Consider the following 23977-nt stretch of genomic DNA (forward strand, 5'->3'; position numbering starts at 1 on the left):
CGCCCCTGCACCCCAGCTTGGACAACAGAGCAAGACCCTATCCCTAAAAAACAAACAAACAAAGCCTTCCTTTTAAAAGAGTAGAAACAAGATAAATAGCAAAGGTGTGTAGGACATTTGTTTTCAGTAAAGATAACTGGATCTTTAAAATCACTACATGAAGATCAATTATTCCATGTAAATCCCAAATAAAATCAATAATTTATCACAAAGTGCTTAGAGCAATATTCTCTACTCCCCTAAAGTCCTGTTTATCAAAAGTGAAACATTTATTTCAGTCTCTCCAGACTGAAGATTACAGAGCAAAATACTCTGTATTTACTTTTTTTTTTCACTCAGCCGAGAAGAGGGGAATAGAATCCCCATGGCCTTGCCATTCCCTTAACCTCACTTGTGGGACTGTTCAGTTTGTGGATCATCAGCAAATTTCTGGTCTATCACTCAGTAACATAAGACCTTGGGAAGATTACTTAAAGTTTGTAAATCTCAGTCTCACTATATGAAAAAGGGGGATAATAGTGGGGGGAATTAAATGAGCTAACCTGTGGTAGGTGCTGGGCCAGTGCCTTGCATTTAATAAATGTTCAATAAATGTTAGCCACCACCATCACCACCACCACTACCACCATCACCACAACTGCCACCATTACCCCCACCACCACTACTGTCACCACTGCCATCACCACCATCAGCATCACCACCACCATTACCACCACCACCAACATACCACTACCTCCACCATAACCACTACCACCACCACCATCACCACCACCATACCACTACCACCATCACCACCACCACCATCACCACCACCACCACCATCACCACCACCACCACCAGCATCACCACCATCACCACCACCACCACCATCACCACCATCACCACCACCATCACCACCATCACCACCACCACCACCACCATCACCATTACCACCATCACCACCCCCACCACCACCACCACCATCACCACCACCACCATCACCACTACCACCACCAGCATCACCATCACCACCACCTTCACCACCACCATCACCATCACCAACATCACCACCCCCCCACCACCATCAACACCATCACCACCACCATCACTACCATCACCACCATCACCAACACCACCATCACCATTACCACCATCACCACCCCCACCACCACCATCACCACCATCACCACCACCATCACCACCATATCACTACCACCACCACCACTACCATCACCACCATCACCACCCCCACCACCACCATCAACACCATCACCACCACCATCACCACCACCACCATCACCATTACCACCATCACCACCCCCACCACCACCATCACCACCATATCACTATCACTACCACCACCACCACCACCACTACCATCACCACCATCACCACCACCACTACCACTACCATATCACTATCACTACCACCACCACCACCACCACTACCATCACCACCATCACCACCACCACTACCACTACCATATCACTATCACTACCACCACCACCACCACCACTACCATCACCACCATCACCACCACCACTACCACTACCATATCACTACCACCACCATTACCACCCCACCACCACCACCAGCATCACTACCACCACCACCCCCACCACCAATAGCATCACCACTGCCATCACCACCACTGCCTCAATCACCACCACCATCAAAATCACTTTCTTTCTGTATTTCTCTGCTCCTCTTTTACTTTTTATTGTAAAATAAAACATATAGAAACCTTCCAAAATAAAAGTAGAACTTAATGAGTCATAATAAGGTGAACGCCCATGTAACCAAAAGAACCAGTCACCCCAGAACGCTCCATTGTGCTGTTCCAGCCTCAACTCCCTCCCTTCCCCAAAAAGGAACCACTGTCCTTTTACTGTAGTGACTTTCCTGTTTCTTTTTGGTTTTAGGACCCAAATGTGCCTGACTAGACACTTTAGTTTAGTCTGTACCTCCCCCAATTTTTCTACCTTATGTCTTTTAAGTTTATTATAATGTATAGGCTTCTCTCCATTCCTTGCAGTTTGCCTGCTGAAGAAGCTGGGGTATTTGATGTGTAGAACATCTCAGAGTCTGGCTCTGAGGTGACTGCAGGCTCATGGTGCAATTCAACATGTTCCTCTGTCTGTCTTTCCTGCCAGCTTGGAAGCTGGGGCCAGAGGCTGCGTCAGACTCCTCTTCTATCCCTAGACTCGTGTTGTCTCTTTGGCAAGATTCTAGGTAGTGCTGTGTCCTTTCATTAGCTCAGTGGCTAGATTTATGTGGTCTGCAAAATGACGATATTCTAATGTCACCATTTATTTTGCATCCTTTAGTTAAAATACTTTTAGTAAGCATTTCTGCCCTTCATGCTGTATTTGATTTCTCCGCGGTACAGTTCACATAGGAAAAAAAACTTGATTTTCTTTGCTTTAATTACCCAGTTTTCAAGAAAGTGAATGTGTTCCCGTGGTGGTTGTAAAACTTGACTGCAAATTCTGCAGCGCTTCTGCCTTCAAGAGATGGGATCTACATCCCGCTTGTTGAATCTGGAGGGGCATAGGAGAGCATTAAAAATGACAATTTGTGCCGGGTGCAGTGGCTCCTGCCTGTAATCCCAGCACTTTGGGAGGCTGAGGCAGGCAGATCGCCTGAGGTCAGGAGTTTGAGACCAGCCTGGCCAACATGGTGAAACCCTGTCTTTACTAAAAATGCAAAAATTAGCCAGGCGTGGTGGTGGACACCTGTAATCCCAACTACTCAGGAGGCTGAGGCAGGAGAATTGCTTGAACCCAGGAGGCAGAGATTGTAGTGAGCCAAGATTGCGCCACTGCACTCCAGCCTGGGTGACAGAGCAAGACTCTGTTTAAAAAAAAGAAAGACAATTTGTGACTTCCATGCCTACATCATAAAAGGCCACACAGCTTCTACCTTGTTTCCTCGGACACATGCTCATGGAGCCCGTGGCTGCCCTGTGAGAAATCCAGCTCCGCTGAGAACACTGCCTCAGAAAGGCTGCATATGGGCACTCTGGATAGCAGCCCAGCTGAGCACAGGCTTCCGTCATCCCAACCCAGACCCAAATGTGCAAGTGAAGTGGCCTCCAGATGACTCCAGTCCCAGCCATTTCGTCTTTCCAGCTGATGTCCCAGATGTCACAGAGCCAGGTCCACCAGGCCCTATCTGAAGTCCTGAAATACAGAATCCATATGCATGATAGAACGGGTGTTTACACTGCTTCGTCTTGGGGGGAGTTTGTTATACATAATAGTTAATGATAACGGTTCCTCATCGCCCTCTAAAGGTGACCAATGAGATTTATTTATATCCTTGTAAACTCATGAATTTAAAAAATATTTCATGATTTCAATCAATGGATTCATTATGCTTCTTGACACTCAAATTGTCCCTTATTTGACCAATGGCACCTCTTCATACTGGATTCTGAGTCCTTTTGACATAGCTCTATGAATACACAACAAACCATTGAATTATACACTTTAAGTAGGTGAACTGTATGCTATGTAAATTTTTTTTTATCAAAAAGCTCTTATTTAAGGGAAGACAATTACAAAAGACAAAATAACACAAATCAGAATTAGACAAATTCAAAACTGCGGTGATAGAACTCAGAAAAAATTAGAAATTAGCAGTCACTACCTATGTCTTTCCCCGCTCTCAAGGCAACCACTAATCCACTTTCTGTCTTTATAGATTTGTCTATTCAGACATTTCATATACATAAAACCATACAATATGTGGTCTTTTGTGTCTGGCTTTTTAGCACAATGTTTTCAAGGTTCATCCATGTTATGGCATGTAACAATACTTTATTACCTTTTATGGCTAAATAACATTCCATGTATAGACATAATATTTGTCTACCCATTCATTCGTTGATATACATTAGGATTATTTCCACTTTTCAGCTTTTATTAATGACACTGCTATCAATATTCATGTACATGTTTTTTGTTTGTTTCTTTTTGAGACAGAGCCTTCCTCTGTTGCCCAGGCTGGAGTGCAGTGGCACAGTCATGGCTTACTGCAACCTCCACCTCCCAGGCTCAAGCAATCCTCCCACCTCAGCCTCCCAAGTAGTTGGGACTACAGGTGCACACCACCAAGCCGGCTAATTTTTTTGAATTTTTTTAGGGATGGGTTCTTGTCATGTTGCCCAGGCTGGTCTCAAACTCCTGGGCTCAAGCGATCCTCCTGCCTCAGCCTCCTGAAGTGCTGGGGTTACAGGCATGAGCCACCGTGCCCAGCCTCATGCGCAAGTTTCTGTGTAGACATGTTTTCAGTTCTCTTGGGTATAAAACTAGGAGTAGAAATGCTGGGTCATATGGTCCTCTATGTTTAACCTTGTGGGGCACTGCCAAGCTGTTTTCCAGAGTTTCTGAACCATTTTAAATTCCCACCAGCAGTGTATGAAAGTTTCTATTTCTCCACATTCTTGTGAACACTTGTTATTACCTGTCTTTTATAGCCATTCTACTGAGTGTTCAATTGGGTTTTTTTTTGTTTTTTTTGTTTTGTTTTGTTTTTTTTGAGACAGAGTCTCGCTCTGTCACCCAGGCTGGAGTGCAGTGCAGTGGCACGATCTCGGCTCACTACAGCCTCCACCTCCTGCGTTCAAGCGATTCTCCTGCCTCAGCCTCCTGAGTAGCTGGGACTACAGGCATGCACCACCACATCTTGCTAATTTTTGTATTTTTAGTAGAGATGGGGTTTCACCATGTTGACCAAGATGGTCTCAATCTCCTGACCTCATGATCCACCCGCCTCGGCCTCCCAATGTGCTGGGATTACAGGCATGAGCCACAGCGCCTGGCCTACTCAAGTGGTTTTTCATTGTGGTTTTGACATGCATTTCCCTGGTGGCTAATGATGGTGAATATATTTTTATGTGCTTATTGGCCATTTGTATGTTTTCTTTGGAGCAATGTCTGTCCAGTCATATCATTTTCTTAATGTCTCTTAGCTCATTTTCAAAGAGAAAGTTATAGTTGCGATCTTTTCTGTGGACTTTTTTTTCCTGGTGTGCTTACAATGTCTATAGTATTGTTATTCTGCGTTTATTCTTTTTTTTAAGACTTTTCTATGGAATTTGGTTTTATTTTCCTATTATTCATTTATAAGCAAAATCAATTGCCCTTAAGTTTAGAAGGAGGCAGCGTGAATTTTCTGTCTTTACAGAGCACCCTCTGGTTTTTCAATGTGTGAGTGTGTGTGTGTGTGTGTGTGTGTGTGTGTGTGTGTGTGTGTGTAACTTGCTTTCTGAGATTTCCTGACGCTGGTCCCCTCTACCACTTTTATCTGGACCTTGTCTTTTCCTGTCTGAGCAGTCCACATCCTGATCTGTTTTGACTGTGCTCCCACAATTTGTCCTCAGTGTGGAGTTCTGTGCCCAAAGGGTGCCCTGGCTGGACTGGTTAGAGAGCTCATCGGGGTTAGGCAGCTCTGGCCTCCTCTGAGCTACCAGGGACTTCTCACGTGCACCCACCATGAGCCTGGGCGAGGCCCTTCTGGTTTCAGCTGCTCTTCTCAAATGGCTCCATCTTGCTTTCCAGGGAACACCTGATGACTGCCTCGGGGGTCTCCTGTGCTGATGCCCCACTGCCTCCCTCACCTTTCTTCTGCACCGATACTGATTACCATGCAGGCCTTGTAGGTGTTGGTGGTTTGCTCTTTGTTGCTTATAGTTTGGGAGTTGTGGGGACAGCCTAACTTCCAGTTTCATTATAAAGGTCTGTGGGTTTTTGGTTTTGCTACTTGGTTGCTCTTCTGGTTTTATGGGGGAATTGGTGTGATTAAAGGACTATGCTGTCACCACGGCTGCCTTTCCAGAATCCTTCTCAGACCACTTCCTTGACAATGAAAATTCAATTTGCCTTTCATTTTGCTATTTGCTTTGAACCTGATCTATTTGAATCATGCAGATTCAGGCCGGGGTTATTAATCATATCAAGGATAATTAGTTACCTCAAAAAGAGTATGTTCTTTTTTTTTTGAGACAGAGTCTCGCTCTGTCGCCCAGGCTGGAGTGGCACAATCTCAGCTCACTGCAACCTCCGCCTCCCGGATTTCAGCGATTCTCCTGCCTCAGCTTCCTGAGTAGCTGGGACTACAGATGCATGCCACCATGCCCGGCTAATTTTTGTAATTTTAGTAGAGACGGGGTTTCACCATATTGGTCAGGCTGGTCTCGAACTCCTGACGTCAGGTGATCCACCCACCTTGGCCTCCCAAAGTGTTGGGATTACAGGCGTGAGCCACCACCCCTGGCCAAAGTGTATGTTCTTTATTACTCTGGCAAACTAGATCTGAACGCTATGGGAGCTCTGGGTACTTTGAAATCTCATTAGGCAATCAGCAATCCTCAAGGCCTGTGACTCAGCAGGTCCACCCAAGGCCTGAGCCACTCCACGTCAAGCTGTGGCTCTTTTCGCCCCGTGCCTTTGCGTGTCTACCCAGCGTCTTGCTGCTAGATTCTTTCTTACTGAGAAGTTACTACAGGAATGCTTCTTGCAAATGTCAGGCTCTCCCCTCTAATCCCATGTGCTAAATGTCAAGGCTCCCATGGACTCTGGACTCTGTACAAACAGCCCCTTGAACAGCAAAAATTCCAGGCTAGACTCATCTTGTCTGATTACACTGTACTTGTAATCACTCATTCAACAGGCACTTATCAAGTGCCTACTGTGTACCAGACACTGTGCCGCACACTAAGAACACAGACCTACTGTGTGCAGACACTATGCCACACACTAGGAACATAAAGATAAATATGACCCTTTCTCTCTCCTCCAGGAAAAGGGGAGATTGGTGCACAAATATTAATTGTGGTGCAGGGAAATCATGGCTAGAATAGAAATACAGATTATATGATATGCTGTGAGGGCAGATGCAAAGAAAAGCACAACTGTCAACTGTAATTCCTATATCAGAAAATAAAACTGCATGTGTTCTGTGATCCAACATACAAAACGTATGTATTTGGCAAAGGTGGGGATGGAATACACCATTATGAATATAATTTTTACTTAATCCTGTAATCCCAGCACTTTGGGAGGCTCAGGCGGGAGGATTGCTTAAGCCCAGGAGTTCAAGACCAGCCTGGACAACATGGTGAGACCCCATCTCTACAAAAAATTTAAAAATTAGTTGGGTGTACTGGCATGCTTCTGTAGTCCTGGGTACTCAGGAGGCTGAGGCAAGAGGGTCACTTCAGCCCAGGAGTCTTAGGCTGCTGTAAGCTATAATCGTGCCACTGCACTCCAGCCTGGGCAACAGAGTAAGACCCTGTCTCAAAAAAGGAAAGAAAGGAAGGAAGAAAGAAAGAAAGAAAGAGAGAGAGAGAAAGGAAGGAAGGAAGGAAGGAAGGAAGGAAGGAAAATCATTGTTGCATCAATGAAAGAATAGTGGGTGATTTTTTTCCTTGTCAAAATGTATTTTATTGTAGTTACTTTTTTTTTTTTTTTTTGAGATGGAGTCTCACTCTGTCACTCAGGCTGGAGTGCAATGGCACAATCTCGGCTCCCTGCAACCTCAGCCTCCCGGGTTCAAGCAATTCTCCTGCCTCAGCCTCCCGAGTAGCTGGGACTACAGGCGCGTGCCACCATGCCTGGCTAATTTTTGTATTTTTAGTAGAGATAGGGTTTCACCATGTTAGCCAGGGTGGTCTCGATCTCCTGACCTTGTGATCCGCCCACCTCGGCCTCCCAAAGTGCGGGGATTACAGGCGTGGGCCACCACGCCCAGCCTGTAGTTACTTTTTAATAATAATTTTGTTTTATGTGTAAGTACATGGATATATACTTGCATACATAGACACACAGCTATTTTCTTGATGTGCTTTCACATGATTGATAAAGCAAAGCTCCTGGCCCTGTGGTAGACACTTGTGAGGGTTTTCATGCTCTTTCCCTCGCCATATGTACTAGTTGGAAAATACTGTGGGATTTCACATGTGTCACCCTCATTATGATTTTCAAAAGTGAAAAGTAGAAAAAGCTGACTAGGACAATGATTGCGGTGTAAATCCCAGATAGAATGGTTTCGAAGCAGATACTCCAGAAGGGAGATGCCAAGTGAGTGTTTCCATAATTGTAATGAGACTTTCTGCAGGCAGGGCAGCATCTTTGCTGATAGAGAGGCACTGGGGAAATGGCCCTACGCGTGAAGAGCTGCAGCTGAGAATACTCTGGCACTTCACGGTGGGCGCTGACTAGCTGATGTCATTCCCCTGAAAAGTCCACAGGCCCTGCTGGCTACACCTGGCTGGGAGGAGCATGGGGATTTTAACAGAGGTGGAAGTAAAGTTGCGTTTTGGAGAAAATGACCCACTTGCATTTTTCATGCAGACAGAATAGGAGAGTCTGAGCTGTGAAAGAAAGGGAGAGACATTAGATTACTCATGGGAGATTGTCAGCCAGGTGCCAGAAGATACATCTGCGGTGGCCATTAAAGTACCATGAGGAATCGGTTCCCTGGAACCCAACTCCTTCTGCATCCAGTGCCTGGTCCCATGTCAGCTATGGTGGGACAGATAACCTTACATCTGAGCAGTGTCAGGAACTGCAGAATAACAAAAGCAGGTAACGCCCCTCTCTATTGAGTTGGACCATATCTGAAAACCATAAATGAAGGTCTGGAAGTTTCAGGAGTCACACTCTCCAAGTACTGCCTCTCCTGGCATGCTTCTCACTCCTCCCCCAGGCCGAGGATGCAGAATTGCAGATGACTCACAATCTTCAGGAGACTGCTAGACGGAGGGCGGTGTTAACTTGGCATCGAACTTGCCAAATTACAGTGAAAGAATTGCTGTGCGTCTGATCAATGGAATCTTTCCAAATTAAATTGTATTTAATATGTCTTAGGGGAGCTCTCTATTTTTTTTTAATGTTTCAATATGAGAAAGAGGGAAGGGAAGGTCTCAAGAGGATGGATCCCCCCATTACTTTATTGCGCTTTCTAAAAGAGGTGGGTTTTTATTATTATTATTATTATTATTATTATTATTATTATTATTCAGTGGCAGCGATAGATGCATGGCAGGTGTTTAACACCAAGGATCCTTCAGTCTGAGTTACTGAGAAGGAGCACTGTAGGAGAAAGGGCAGAGGATGCTGTGTGGGAGGATGAAAAATAAAAGCATGGCTGGGTACAGTGGCTCACACCTGTAATCCCAGCATTTTAACTGGCAGAGGTGGGAGGATCACTTGAGGCCCGAACTGGAGCCCCGCCTGGGCAACACAGCAAGACCCCATCTCTGCAAAACTGAAAAAAAAAATGGGCATGGTGGTGGGGACTTGTATTCCCAGCTACTTGGGAGGCCAAGGAAGGAGGATCCCTTGAGCACAGGAGTTCAAGGCTGCAGTGAGCTATGATTCTGCCACTGTACTCCAGCCTGGGTGACAGAGCAAGACCCTGTCACTCCAAAAAAGGAGAGCGAGGCCAGAAATTACCAGAATTAGCAGCTGTTTCTCAAGCTGAAGCAGCCCAAGAGGCTCCCGAGGGAGAAATCTGCTTCTCAGGTTCCAGGGGTCGGGCACTGGATTCCACCAGCCCTGAACAACCCCGATCCAGTGTGAGCCTAGAATCACTGACCACACACATCAGGGGGTCTGGCATTCCTGGGAGACAGCTCAGGCTGGCATTGGTTGAAAAGGAGAAAGCACCCAAGGACCTCATTGGCATCAGCATCTTCATCCTCCTCACAACTGCTGTTTGGGTTTTATTTTATTTCCTGCCTTGGTCATACACAGTCCTTATCTGAATGGGGACACCCACCCCTGGCCTGTGGGTTCTGGTTGGTGGCTGGCGGCTTATCTAAAATGACAGAAGCCTTCTATGCCTTAGAGAGTTAAGTGCCCTTTTTCTTCTTTTAAACAAAAGCCATTGGTAGTAGAAATGTTCATTTCTGTCTTAATCGCTGCAGGGCATAACAATTACTGAATTGTGATCATGGCTTTGACAATGCAATGTTAAATTTGCCTCAAAATATCTTGAGTGAACTATATGAAAGTGTGTTGCACTTAAAATTGGATAAAATAAAAATAAAATCTGATAAATGAAAATCTGAATAAACAAAATGGAAAGATTTATGGTACGATTGTCTTCAGTACTTAATGTTTCTGTTTTTTTAAAAAGGATGCATCAATAACCTCATATACAGCAGGTTCCACTGTGCTTTTATATAACAGAAAGCATGAGGGGCTCTGATATTAGGCCGCCTGCAATGGCTTTGCCATTTATTGTCCCCTGGGATCTGGAGTAAGCTAAATTATCGCTTTGTGCCACAACTTCCTCATCTGTGCCACCAGCCTGCCACATAGGGCTGGGATGATTACGTAACCTACAACATGAAAAACAATTAGCCCAGTGCCTGGTACAGAATAACACTCAGTAATGTTAGCTGTTATTATCATGTTTTAATAACTAATTTTCTCCCCACTCCTTCGTAATATAACATAGAGTCATACCTGTGGCACTTTAATACACTGCCCATTTTGAGTCAATTTCTGAATTTTACAAACCAGCCAATGCTAATATAGGCAATGTGAACAGAGAACATTGTTATGCTCGCTGAAATCAAGGAAGAAACTAGACACTATAAAACATCAGAAAGGGGTCCCTGGCTCCACCCCCAGAAGATTCCATACCCCGGGGCCTCTCCTGTACCATGTGTTGGAGAAAACACTTTGTTTCTAGTACCTGCAGGAAAGGAGATTTTATGCCCAGTACCTGCCTTAGAAACGCCAGTGCTGCCAAAAGCTCTACATATGCATGCACTGTGCCTTCTCAGGCCAGTGAATTCTATGCATGCCTTGATTTATATTGTGTCTAAAATTGCAGACACTGGCACCAAAGCTTCACCAGGCCAAGAGGAGCAGGGACCACTGCTCTGTTTTGACGGCAAATACCTTGTGATGGTTAATATTGAGTGTCAACATGATCGGATTGAAGGATGCAAAGTATTGATCCTGGGTGTGTCTGTGAGGGTGTTGCTAAAGGAGATTAACATTAGAGTCAGTGGACTGGGAGAGGCAGACCCACCCTCAATGTGGATGGGCTCCATCTAATCAGCCGTCAGCGTGTCTAGGATAAAAGCAGGGAGAAAAACATGGAAGGGATAGACAGGCTGAGTCTTCCAGACTTCATATTTCTCCCGTGCTGGATGCTTCCTGCCCTCGAACATCAGGCTCCAAGTTCTTTTGGACTCTTGAACTTACACCAGTGGTTTGCCAGGGGCTATTGGGCCTTTGGCCACAGACTGAAGGCTGCACTGTCAGCCTTCCTACTTTTGAGGTTTTGGGACTCAGACTGGCTTCCTTGCTCCTCAGCTTGCAGATGGCCTATTGTGGGACCTTGTGATTGTGTGAGTCAATACTCCTTAATAAACTCCCTTTTATATATACATCTATCCTATTAATTCTGTCCCTCTAGAGAACCCTGACTAATACAGGCCCCCTCCCCCCATGCCCACCCACCTGACCCCTCTTGTCCAGTCCAGACTGGCCTCAGCTTGTAGAAGTGTGAATGAGGCTGAAGTGGGGGATGGAATGGGTGGGGAACATTTGGTACAAGCCTCTAGAATGTTTCAGTGTGGCCATAAAGTCACAGTACCTAAGTATAAGTCAGTGAAAAGTTTGGATAAGCACGTTTTTATCACAGTTTTTAATGGTGGTAAAATATACATAAAACTTACCATCTTCACCATTCTTAAGCATACGGTTGCATGGCACTAAATACGTTCACATTGTTGTGCAACCATCATCACCATCCATCTCCAGAAAGACATGTTTTTGTTGGGGTTGTTGGAGACAGGGAATAGAGGATGACAAAATGTCATAAAACCACATAATGAATGTTCATATGACCAGGAAAGATTGAGGTTTAACAGGAATTCAGGGGAAGGCCCTGCTCAGCAGAAAGAAGCTACCATGGAGTTCTGAGCAACAGTGAGACTGTGACCTCAGTCCCCCGGGATGCGGCAGCCCTTACCAGGCCGCTGCTGCCTGCACTCCCCATTAAAGCTGTGGCTACTTTGGGCAAAATGAAGGGAACAAAAAGTTGGGTTTTTGCTTCTGGTCCTTTGCCACACTCCTTGTCTCTTGTCTCTTCCCCACTTCCCTGACGTTCTTTTTCTTTTCTTTTCTTTTCTTTGAGATAGGGTCACCCAGGCTGGAGCACAGTGGTGCAATCTCGGCTCACTGCAACCTCTGCCTCCAGGCTCAGATGATCCTCCCAGCTCAGCCTCCTGAGTAGCTGGGACCACAGGTGTATGCCATCACATCCAGCTAGTTTTTAATTTTTTTTTAAAGACAGGGTTTCCCTATGTTGCCCAGGCTGGTCTCAAACTCCTGGGCTCAAGCCATCCTCCCACCTCAGCCTCCCAAAGTCCTGGAATTATAGGCACGAACCACTGTGCCTGGCCTCCCTGTTGCTCCTGACTCTAAGGCCATGCTCTCCTCAGCCTTTTATTAGGTGCCACGTGGGGACTTAATTCCTGCTTTGATTGGCAATCCTGGTGGCCTTTGGTACGGCAGTGCTTCTCATTCTCAACCTGAAGGCCCAGCTGCCCCCAGCCCACAGTCCTGGCTTTTCCCTGGGTGGTGCAGTATGAGAGCCTAAGCATTAGAACCACACAGCCTGGTTCAAAGAGTGGCCACACCACTGCTCTGTGACCCTGGGCAAGTCCTCCTGTCTCCCCATCTGTAAAATAGGAATAAGATACCTGCCTACTAGAGTGTGGGGCAGCTCAAAAAAAAAGACATGCATAGAGGAGCTGGGTAGGTGCTTGCAAAAATCCCAGTTCCCCTTGCGGAACCAGCCAGCCAGTGACAGACCACACTGCTGTTCAAATACTTTTCTTTCTTTTCCTCTTTCTTTCTTTCTGTTTTCTTTCTTTCTCTTTCTTTCTCCTTCTTTCCTTCTTTCTCTTTCTTTCTTTCTTTTTCTTTCTTTCTTCTTTTCCTTCCTTCCTTCCCTCCCTCCCTCCCTCCCTTCATTCCTTCCTTCCTACCTTCCCTCCCTCCCTCCCTCCCTCCTCCCTTCCCTTCCCTTCCCTTTCTTTCTTTTTTTTTTTTGCTTTAACAGAGTCTTGCTCTGTAGTCCACACTGGAGCGCAGTGATACATCTCAGCTCACTGAAACCTCTGCCTCCTGGGTTCAAGTGATTCTTCTGCCTCAGCCTCCAGAGTAGCTGGGATTACAGGCATGTGCTACCATGCCCGGCTAATATGTATTTTTAGTAGAGACAGGGTTTTGCCATGTTGGCCAGGCTAGTCTCGGAATCCTGACCTCAGGTGATCCACCCGCCTTGGCCTCCCAAAGTGCCGGGATTACAGGCATGAACCACCATGCCCAGCCTCTTTCTTTCTATTTCAAAAAAAAAATTGTTGACAATATATTAGACCCATGCTATGTGCTTTTGTGCTTCAAGAATGAGAAGGGGCAACATTTTAAGAGAAAGCATGAGACAAGTGCACAGGGAAAACAATGGAGCCCTGTGCACAGGTGTGCAGCCAGCAGCTGCCAGGCAGCCACAGAAATGAAGAGGAGGTGGAAGGGCTCTAGGCTTCTCCAAAGGAGCTGCCTGCTTTGGTCTGCGAAAGGGAGATTTCCGACTGAGGGTGCCCAAGATTTTAACTGATGGGTGGGAAAGCAAAGTGTGAATCTCCAAACCCACAACTTTCCCACTTCTGCAAGGAGTTCTCTCCTCCTCTGTGTCAGCCCTGAGAGACAAAGAGTGGCAGGAATTTCAGGGCAGGTGGAGGGTGGTTCATTTACAGAAAAGAGCTTTCATGATCTCCGGTTGGATTAGGGTAAGGTAGTAATGAATGACTGTTGTTTGGATGAAATACTGGAATGATTTCAACTGTGGTAGACAGGTTTGACTTGAGAAGAGTATGGAGAACTGGTTAAGAACAGACTTGGCCAGCCATGGTGGCTCACGCCTGTAATCCCAGCACTTTGGGAGGCCGAGGCAGGCAGATCACTTGAGTTCAGGAGTTCAAGACCAGCCTGGGCAACATGGCGAAACCCCGTCTCTACTAAAAACACAAAAATTAGCCGGGTGTGTTGACACACACCTGTAATCCCCACTACTCAGTGACTGAGGCACGAGAATTGCTTGAACCTGGGATGCGGAGGTTGCAGTGAGCTGAGATGGCGCCACTGCACTCTAGCCTGGGCAACAGAGGAAGACCTTGTCTCAAAAAATAAATAAATAAAATAAATAAATAAATAAATAAATAAATAAAAATTTTTTAAAAAAATTACAAATGAAAGTGATTTGCACAAAATACAAAAGGAAATTGAAACCAGGCTGGCCTATAAGAGAAAGGTAGTTTATTGACTTAATGGTAACTAAAACTCTAAAGGTAATAATTTCAGGTGACATTTGATCCAGCAGCTCAAAAAATGTCACCAACAGCCTGCCTTCTGTCCTCAATCTGCTTTATATGGTGTTGGCTTTATCCACAGATTCCACAAGGTGGCCCCAGAGGCTGCTCCAGGATCTCGATTACTGGAAAAAGGCTGTAGCTGCTCCAAAATTCACCATTCGGGTAAAAAGGGTGGTCTCTTTTTCAGAGCTACTATAAAATAGGTTTATTCTTCCCAAAAGCCCCGGCAAATGTCCTCCTGGCTTGTTGCCTCTGATTTGGTAGTGCCAGTCTCCAAACCAGTCCATTTGGCTTGGGGCCATGGTGGGTGTGCCCATTGGTTTAAGCCAGCCAGAAACCACTCCAGGCACTTGGGGAGGGTTCAGTCCCACTCAAGCCAAATTCACTCTTGAAATCTGTGTTCTTGTATCCAGGAGAGAATATAGATGCAGGGTATCAAATAGCCAATGTGTACTACATTACATTTTAAGAGAAGCCACCAAATTTATACAATTTGTGCTTACAGATTTCTATACAAAGACAAGAGAAATGCCTGATTCTTGTGTGTGTGTTTTGTTGTTGTTATTTTTTGTTTTGTTTTTTTCCTGTTGATCGATCACAATAACCAGGAAGGATTTTGGCATTTGGCATTTTTGCACCTTGGTTCTGACCTGGAAAGGAGGAGGGTGTGGCATTTATAGATAAGTAACTGAAGACCAAGGTCAAATGAATGGATGATGTAATTCATTCCCTAAACAGAGAAACGTCTGGTGCCTTCCTGGCCTCAGTCCTCTCCGAAGGGGCTGTTGGCTCCAGCCCAAAGGCCTCTGCATTCTTTGGCTTCCATTGATTTCTCACCTGATTCCAATCACATTGCCCTCTGACTAATACTATGTTTTAATGCTTAGACGAATTATGTATGCATTAAAAGGAAAACCTTGGATTTAAGCCTTGAGGTGAAATAGGATGCTTAGTCTGTGGTAACAAAAGAAGACTGGAAATGGAAGGAGATCAGCGAGGTCAGACACAGCAGCCCACAGACGCAGCCCTTGGCTGCTGAATGTCCTCCATCTCAGCCCATATGGTGACACTCTTGAGTGCACACTGGGCATGCAGCCCAGATAAATGCAGCCAGGATAAGTGGTTTCTATAACATAATGGGGTTAAATGAAAGATTTCTAACTCTCCCACTTTCATTTGTGGCTCAGAAAAGATTTTAGTAATGAAATCGAAGGTAATCAGAGATCAGCTGGAGGAAAGATGTATAATCAGATTTTCCAGTGTTCAGATTTGCTCTGGGGGAGGGGTTATGCATTTATTCAACAAATATTTCTTAAAGGCCCAGTATGTGCCAGGTATGGGTACAATGGTGGCCTGTCCACTTGGGTTTACGGTCTAGCACAAGGGAGCTAGGTAATCATCAAATACCTATGCAAGCCCACCTACAGTAAGTGCTATCGGTTAAAATATAGACATATTTAGGCATGTTAAGAAAGTCTCACGTGAATTTTGTGAATTAAATGTGTAGAGAAACTCCCAATATAGAGCATCTTAAACTGCTGAATGAAGTATTTAAAAAAGACTGTTTTGCCAATTTTGTTGTTATAATTTACATACAATGAAATTCGCTGATTTTAACTGTACAATTCAATGAGTATTGACAAATGTATAGAGTCCTGTCACTGCCACCACATCATGACATAGCACACGTCCATCACTCCTGAAGTTCCCTTGTACCCCTTTACAGCCAGTCCCTTCCCGCTACCTTCTGACCCCAGGCATCCACTGATCTGCCTCCTGTTTCGCTTTTTCTAAAATTTCCTATAAATTAAATCATATGTAGTCTGTCATGTAACATGGTGCTTCTGAGATTTCTTCTTGTGATGCATGTCAGGAGTCTGTGTATTTCTCTTGGTAAGTAGTATTCTACAGAGTGGATATACCACGATTTGTTTTATTAATTCACCAATTCATGGACATTTGAGTTCATTCTGGTTTTTAGCTATTATGAATAAAGTTGATATAAATATTCACCTACAAGTCTTTGGGTAGACATATGTTTTTACTTTTCTTAGGTAGATACCTAGGAGTGGAATGGCTGGGTATGGTAAGCAGAGCTCTAAAAATGACTCCTAGTGACCTAGCCCTCTGATAATCACTACCTCTTTGATTATGGGTCAAATTTATGATTATAAAACTTAAGCTATCGCTCCCATGATTATCTTACAGGGTAAAGCAAGATTATCTGAGGGAATCTAATCTAATCATGTGAGCCCTTTAAATGCTGGCAAGAAAAAAAGAAAGTCAGAGAGATTTGAAGCACAGGGGGGATTCAATGCATCCGTACTGGCTTGAAGATGAAGGACTCCCCTAAGAAGGAATGTGGGTGGCCTTAGCAGCTGAGAGAGGCCCCAGCTGACAGCTAGCAAGAAAATGATGACTGCAGGCCAGGTGCGGTGGCTCACGTCTTTAATCTCAGCACTTTGGGAGGCCAAGGCAGGCTGATCACCTGAGGTCGGGAGTTCAAGACCAGCCTGACCAACATGGAGAAACCCCATCTCTACTAAAAATACAAAATTAGCCAGGCATGGTGGCGTATGTCTGTAATCCCAGCTACTTGGGAGGCTGAGGCAGGAGAATCACTTGAACCTGGAAGGCGGAAGTTGTGGTGAGCCGAGATCGTGCCATTGCACTCCAGCCTGGGCAGCAGGAGTGACATTCCATCTCAAAAAAAAAAAAAAAAAAAGGGAAAATGGTGACTGCAGTCCTGCAACTTCAAGGAACTGGATTCTGCCAACAGCCTGAATGAACTTGGAGGTGGATTTCATCCTACAGCCTCCAGAAGATAATTCAGCCCAGTCAACACCTTCAAGTCCATCCTGTGATACCATGAGCAGAAAACCCGCCACAATGTTCAAGCCTGCTGACCTATAGAACCATGAGAACTGTGAGCTAACAAATAAATGTAGTTATAAGCCACTGTTTGTGATGATTTGTTACAACGATAGAAAACTAATATATATGGTATGTGTATGTTTAACTTCATAAGAAACCTGCTCAATTGTTTCCAAAAGCAGCTACACCATTTTACACTTCTACCAGCAATGTAGGAGAGTTCCAGTTGTTCCACATTCTTGACAATACTTGATATTGTCAGTCTTTTTGATTTTTAACCATTCTCATATAGTGGCATTTCATTGTGGTTTTAATTTGCATTTCCCTAATGACTAATAGTGTTAGGCATCTTTTCATATGCTTATTTGCTATCCCTGTATATCTTTTTTTTTTTTTCTTCAGACAAGTCTTGCTCTGTTGCTCGGGCTGAAGTGCAGTGGCATGATCATAGCTCACTGTAACCTTGAACTCCCTGACTCAAGAGATCTTCCCATCTCAGCCTCCCTAGTAGCTGGGACTACCGCCGTGCACCACAAGGCCCAGCTAATTTTATTTTTTATATTTGTAGAGACGGAGCCTCACTATGTTGCCTAGGCTAGTCTCAAACTCCTGGGCTCAAGCAATCACCCTGACTTAGCCTCCCAAGGCACTGGGATTACAGGCATGAGCCACCATGCCTGTTCATTCTTTAGTAAAATGTCTGTCCAAATCTTTAGCCCACTTTTTAAATTGGATTATTTGTCTTATTATTTCAAAGCTCTGCTTGGCTGATGGTAAAGTTAATAAAAGACAGAACTGGCTGGGCGCAGTGGCTCACGTCTGTAATCCCAGTACTTTGGGAGGCCGAGGTGTGTAGATCACCTGAGGTCAGGAGTTTGAGACCAGCCTGGCCAACCTAGTGAAACCCCGTCTCTACCAAAATACAAAAATTAGCTGGGCATGATGGCATGCACCTGTAATCCTAGCTACTCCAGAGGCTGAGGCAGGAGAATTGCTTGAACCTGGGAGATGGAGGTTGCAGTGAGCTGAGATCACGCCACTGCACTCCAGCCTGGTCGATGGAGCGGGACTCTATCTCCAAAAAAAAAAAAGAAGAATAAGAAGAAGGCCGAACTGTAAGAAAGCTTGATTGCAGGAGGGAAACAGGGTAGAGCAGGCCTTTTTATGGGTGGGGGTGGAGAATGTCTGCCAACCCTCCATGGCTTACGGTTTGAATTTGAATGAGCCACATACAAGGGAAGAAGATAAAAAGCCTGGGGCTTGAGCAGGGCTGGAGGCCAGATAAGAGATGCCCAATCTGAAGCCAGAACCCCTGAAAAGCAACACAATGATTATACAAGGGAAAAATGTACCTACATAACACCATGTTACCTATCTCAGGCTTGGCTCTGGGTGAAGTATGGAGAAATGCTCAGAACTGCCCAACCATATGCTCCAACTCACAAGTGTGTGAACCTGAAATGTACACTTGCTACTGGGCTTGAAAGCTTTAAACATAAAATTTATTTTAAAGTGGTTTCATGTGGGAAGTGTCTCAATCTTCCTAATTCACCTACCTGGGCATTGCACTTTAACACAGAGTTCCCACAGGATAAAGCTTCCAGATACAAGAATTCACCATAAATAAAAACCACTAAATAAACAGGAAAATAAGACATGAGTAAGTGTCAGCTGAGACAAAAAGCTGCTGACTTAAACCTGCAAAGGCTGAATACTAGAGTGATCGGTATGGAATATTAAATAAGTGTGTTTGACATTTTGTAAAAATAATATAGTGGAATACAAGCATAACATGAAGCAAAACACCTAAAGTTGACAGATTAACTAGAAAAAGAAGCAAAAATTAGATGGCAGCTGATTCCTCAATAGCAACAGTGAAGCTGTAAGACAGCGGAATTATATTTCAAAGTATTACTTGAAAATAACCATGAGACTGGGCGTGGTGGCTCACATCTGTAATCCCAGCACTTTAGGAGGCCAAGGTAGGTGGATTGCTTGAGGCCAGGAGTTTGAGACCAGCCTGGGCAACATGGTGAAACCCCGTTTCTACAAAAAAAATACAAAAAATTAGCCAGGCATGTGGCAGCTCCAGTCCCAGCTACTCTGGAGGCTGAGGTGGGAGGATCACTTGAGCCCAAGAGATAGAGGCTTCAGTGAGCCATAATCACAACATTGCATTCATTCCAGCCTGGGCGATGAGTGAGACTCTGTCTCAAAAAAAAAAAAAAGAAAGAAAAAGAAAAAGAAATAACCGTGAACCCCAAAATCATGTCAAGTGAAACTGTATATCAGAACAAAACCAAAATGAAGACATTATCAAACCAAAGCTGAGATAATTCAGTAATAAAACACTCTATGAATCTTCCCAGGGATGTACTTTAAGGAAAAGGAGAATGATCCCAGAAGGACATTCTGAGAAGCAAAAAGGAATGATGAGAAATATAGGTAAAAACTGTGTACAAATATAAGCAATGTTGCATTTATAAAATATTAATAATAGTGGGCTGGGCACTTTGGGAGGCCAAGGTGAGAATTGCTTGAGCTCAGGAGTTCGAGACCCACTTGGCAACATAGCAAGACCTCTTCTCTATTAAAAATTTAAAAAATTAGCTGGGAGTGGGGGCATGTGCCTGTGGTCCCAACTACTCAAGAGGCTGAGGTGGGAGGATCACTTGAGCCCAGGAGGTGGAGGCTGCTATGAGCTGTGATCTCGCCACTGCACTGTAGCCTGGGCAACACAGTGAGATCCTGTCAGAAGAAGAAAGACAAAGACAAAGGAGAAGAATAAAAAGAAGGTCTAATTGAAGGGTCAAAAATGTGCAATGTAGAACTAAAATCCTGGAAAAAAAAAAAGCCTACAAATTAGGATAAACACATTTGCCAAAATGAGCACATTCTTCCATGTGCCAGGTCCTGTGCTGAGTATTCTTCAGGCATTATCTCACTTAATCCTTCCAACCATGCTGAGTAACGTGCTATTATTAATCCCATTTTTCAAATGAGAACACACAGGAAGTAGCAGCTGAGATTTAAAGCCAGATCTATCCGACTTTTGGGGGGGTTGTTTGTTTATTTTTTAGAGAGTCTCACTCTGCCACTTAGGCTGGAATGCAGTGATGCAGTCAAAGCTCATTGCAGCCTCAATCTGTTAGGCTCAAGGGATCTTCCCATCTTAGTCTCCCGAGTAGCTGGAACTACAGGCACCCACCACCACACCCAGCTAATTTTTTATTTTTGGTAGGACAAGATCTCCCTGTGTTGTCCAGGCTGGTCTCAACCTCCTGGCCTCAAGCAATCCTCCCACCTCAGCCCTGCAAAGTGCTGGGATTACAAGCATGAGCCACTGCACCTGGCCTCTGACTTTGAATCTACCATCTTAACCACTCTACCACACTGCTCTCCATGGAAATGTTTGTCATGGAAAATATAGGGGTCAAAGCAGGAGCATTGATTGAGGCCAGGAGTTCAAGACCAGCCTGGGCAACATAGCGAGACCTTGTCTCTAAAATAAATAAAATAGAAAATAAAATGAAATAGAAAATATTGCCAGGCATGGTGGCTCATGCCTGTAATCCCAGCACTTTGGGATGCCAAGGCGAGAGGATTGCTTGAGCCCAGGAGTTTGAGGCCAACCTGGGCAACATGGCAAGACCCTGTCTCTACAAAAAAAAAATTTGTTAAATTAGTCAAGCATGGTGGTACACACCTGTAGTCCCAGCTACTCAGAGAGGCTGAGGCAGAAGGATTACTTGAGCCCAGGAGATCAAGGCTTCAGTGAGCCATGTTTGTATCACTGCACTGCAACCTGGGGGGCAGAGTAAGAAAAAAAAAAAGAAAAAAGAAAAAGATGAAAGGAAAAAGAAAAAAAATTGGCAAGTATAAAGCCAAGAATTCCCTCAAATCATCATAGTCGTAAGTATACACACATATAATTTTGAAAAAGATTGGAATCACAACTATCTACTGTTTTGAATCTCACTTAATATTATCAGTTAATATAATATTCTGAATATAATCGTCCTGCTCTTAATTATCCTTTAGAAAGACATTTTTCAATGACTGCATTCTTAGTATCTTTTAACTGACTTCTACAATGTTCATTGTTAATTTTTGTTAAAAGTGAAGATGATCTGTTTAGAATTTTCTGTTTTCTCAAACATGAAATGTATTAGGAGATGCCTATGTAGGGATGTCTATTCTATTGCTGGGTATACATATTTCTGCTTTAGGGATCTCCATTTGCAAATAAACATGTGTGTCACATGTTTACAAAATTTGTGCTTCAAAGCAGATTCAGGATACAGCATGTGAATTTTCAAAACAGAAATTAGGCTAGGCACAGGCTCACACCTGTAATCTCAGCATTTTGGGAGGCTGAGATGGGTGGATCACTTGAGGTCAGGAGTTCGAGACAGGCCTGGCCAACATGGTGAAACTCCGACTCTTCTAAAAATACAAAAATTAGCTGGGCTTGGTGGTGAGCACCAGCTACTTGAGAAGCTGAGGCAGGAGAATGGCTTGAACCTGGGAGGCAGAGGTTGCAGTGAGCCAGAATCACACCTCTGCACTCCAGCCTGGGTGACAGAGTGAGACTCCATCTCAAAATAATAAATAAATAAACAAAATTTAAAAACAGAAATTAGATGATTTTTCTCTTTCTTTTTTTTTGAGTTGGAGTCTCGCTCTTGTCGCCAGGCTGGAGTGCAGTGGTGCGATCTTGTCTTACTGCAATCTCTGCCTCCCAGATTCAAGCGATTCCCTTGCCTCAGCCTCCCGAGTAGCTGGGACTACATGCGCATACCACCACACCTGGCTAATTTTTTTTTTTGTATTGTAGTAGAGACAGGGTTTCACCATGTTGGCCAGTATGGTCTTGATCTCCTGACCTCATGATCCGCCCGCCTCAGCCTCCCAAAGTGCTGGGATTACACGCATGATTTTTCTTAACAAAAAGGTTTTTTTGCTTTATGAAGAAATTTTCTTGTGTGTTTTATTTTGCATAAACCGTTTCCCTAGAATATGGAAATATCACTTGCTTTGTGAAAATTGGATGCATGTGAAACTTTTCAGAAATGAATTTATGACTTTTTAAAGGATGCATTTGTATGTACATATTTCAGTCTCAACCCAGAGATTAATATAATCATATTACCATAATGTGTATAGTAAAATCTCATTAATTCAAACATGCCACTGATCTTTAACTTTTAATAGCTCAAATACGGAATACATAATTGATCATAGGATAAACCAGTACGGGGCATGTGTAATTTTTTTTATATACAATCTTCTTATGCCTTAGATGCAAGCTCATTAACTTGTTTCATTTTACCTTTTAGCGCCTATTTGTGGTGTGATTAGTATGATATGTCTGTAACCAAAAGTAACAAGATAGAGGTCAGGCAGTGGCTCACACCTGTAATAGCTGTACTTGAGAAGGTCAAGGTGGGCGGATCACTTGAGGCCAGGAGCTCAAGACCAGCCTGGCCAACATGGTGAAACCCTATCGCTACTAAAAATACAAAAATTAGCCTGGCTTGGTGGCTCACGCCTGTATTCCCAGCTATTCGGGAAGCTGAGACTCGAGAATCACCTGAACCCAGGAGGCGGAGGTTGCAGTGAGCAAAGATGGCACCACTGCACTCCAGCCTGGGCAATAGAGTGAAGCTGTGTCTCAACAAACAAACAAACAACAACAAAACCAAAACAAAAGGAACCAGGTGGCATGTGAACATTTAAATGTTTAATAAATATGCATAGTCTCATCTACACTTCCTCTTTTCTCCATAGAAACCGACTGAAATCATGAGTGAAATTTCATAAGCATCATGGCCTGATGATGCAAGACTGTATTTGAAACAATTCTTGAATTTCTGTGCACGAGATCATCTATAGCCAAATATTATTCCCATGAAGTCTCACCTCTGTTTCATACATCTTTATGGGCTTCTCCTCACTCCTACCTGGAGCCAGCTAGTGCTCTGTCAGTGCAAAATAACTGTTTAAATAGTATCTTAAGGAAAATAAATAGAGAAAAGGAAATAAGCCGAAGGGAATGATGGAATTCATTCTAAAGCCAGGTATTAACTCACTGGTAGGGAAGGGCGAGCGACGCAGTCCCTCGCCTGCGATAGCCACTGACCCCACTCAGGCTCGCGCGGCCCCTCTTCCATTCCCCCAAATCACTGCCGTCTTATTCCTGCCCAACCACCCTCGTCAATCTCTTTGAATCTGTGATTTAAAACAGGCATTCATGGACATTCTTCTTAGAAGGCCTAGTGCTAAGTCGCAGTTGTCAAGGGAACCGCGTGTCTGGAGGGAGAACAGGCTCTCCGGAGTTTCCCGGGAAACCACCCCCCGCAGAGGCAGGTGCGGCTGGCTGGGCCTCGCGGGGAAGGGCTCTCTGGGCGGAGTCGGGGCACTCGGGGCCTGGGGCGTGGTCGCCGGGCTGCCGTGCGCTCGGGATCAGTCTTTTTATACATATATATATGTGTGTATATATATATATATATATATACACACATATATATATGTTATAAAATTCTAACTTCGGTGGAGTACTTTACTTTGATATTCCACTTGCAAAACAGAACCACTGATTCCTTCCTGCTTGACAAGATTGAGTCGCTATCAAGGAGCTGCCCGTGCTTTGGAAATGGTCCAAATCGACGAGGAACTGCCAAGGAGCCCCCTCAGACAGTAAGGTTCTGTTGGCCAGGG

At 44.4% G+C, this 23977-nt stretch overlaps 1 protein-coding gene across 6 annotated transcripts in view, besides 1 other annotated feature; it reads left to right on the top strand.

The window, feature by feature from the left end:
* Nucleotides 7851–8352: an enhancer, noted in NCBI's record as "H3K4me1 hESC enhancer chr4:154057659-154058160 (GRCh37/hg19 assembly coordinates)". NCBI's record gives its function as "activates a minimal SCP1, AML or CMV promoter by ChIP-STARR-seq in primed H9 embryonic stem cells {active_cell/tissue: H9 hESC(primed)}" and the evidence as "EXISTENCE:reporter gene assay evidence [ECO:0000049][PMID:30033119]".
* The window catches only part of TRIM2 (tripartite motif containing 2), a 187155-nt gene continuing 186684 nt past the window's right edge, over nucleotides 23507–23977 (top strand). For 4 of the 6 annotated variants that reach the window (XM_011531796.4, NM_001438045.1, NM_001351056.2 and 1 more), the window contains exon 1: nucleotides 23678–23956. The gene's annotated coding sequence lies outside the window, so the exon portion shown is untranslated. Of the gene's footprint in view, nucleotides 23627–23677; nucleotides 23962–23977 lie in introns of those variants that run through there. The other 2 variants (NM_001375517.1, NM_001375514.1) reach the window with 2 other exon arrangements.

Source organism: Homo sapiens, chromosome 4, assembly GCF_000001405.40.
Source record: "Homo sapiens chromosome 4, GRCh38.p14 Primary Assembly".
Lineage (NCBI taxonomy): Eukaryota > Metazoa > Chordata > Mammalia > Primates > Hominidae > Homo > Homo sapiens.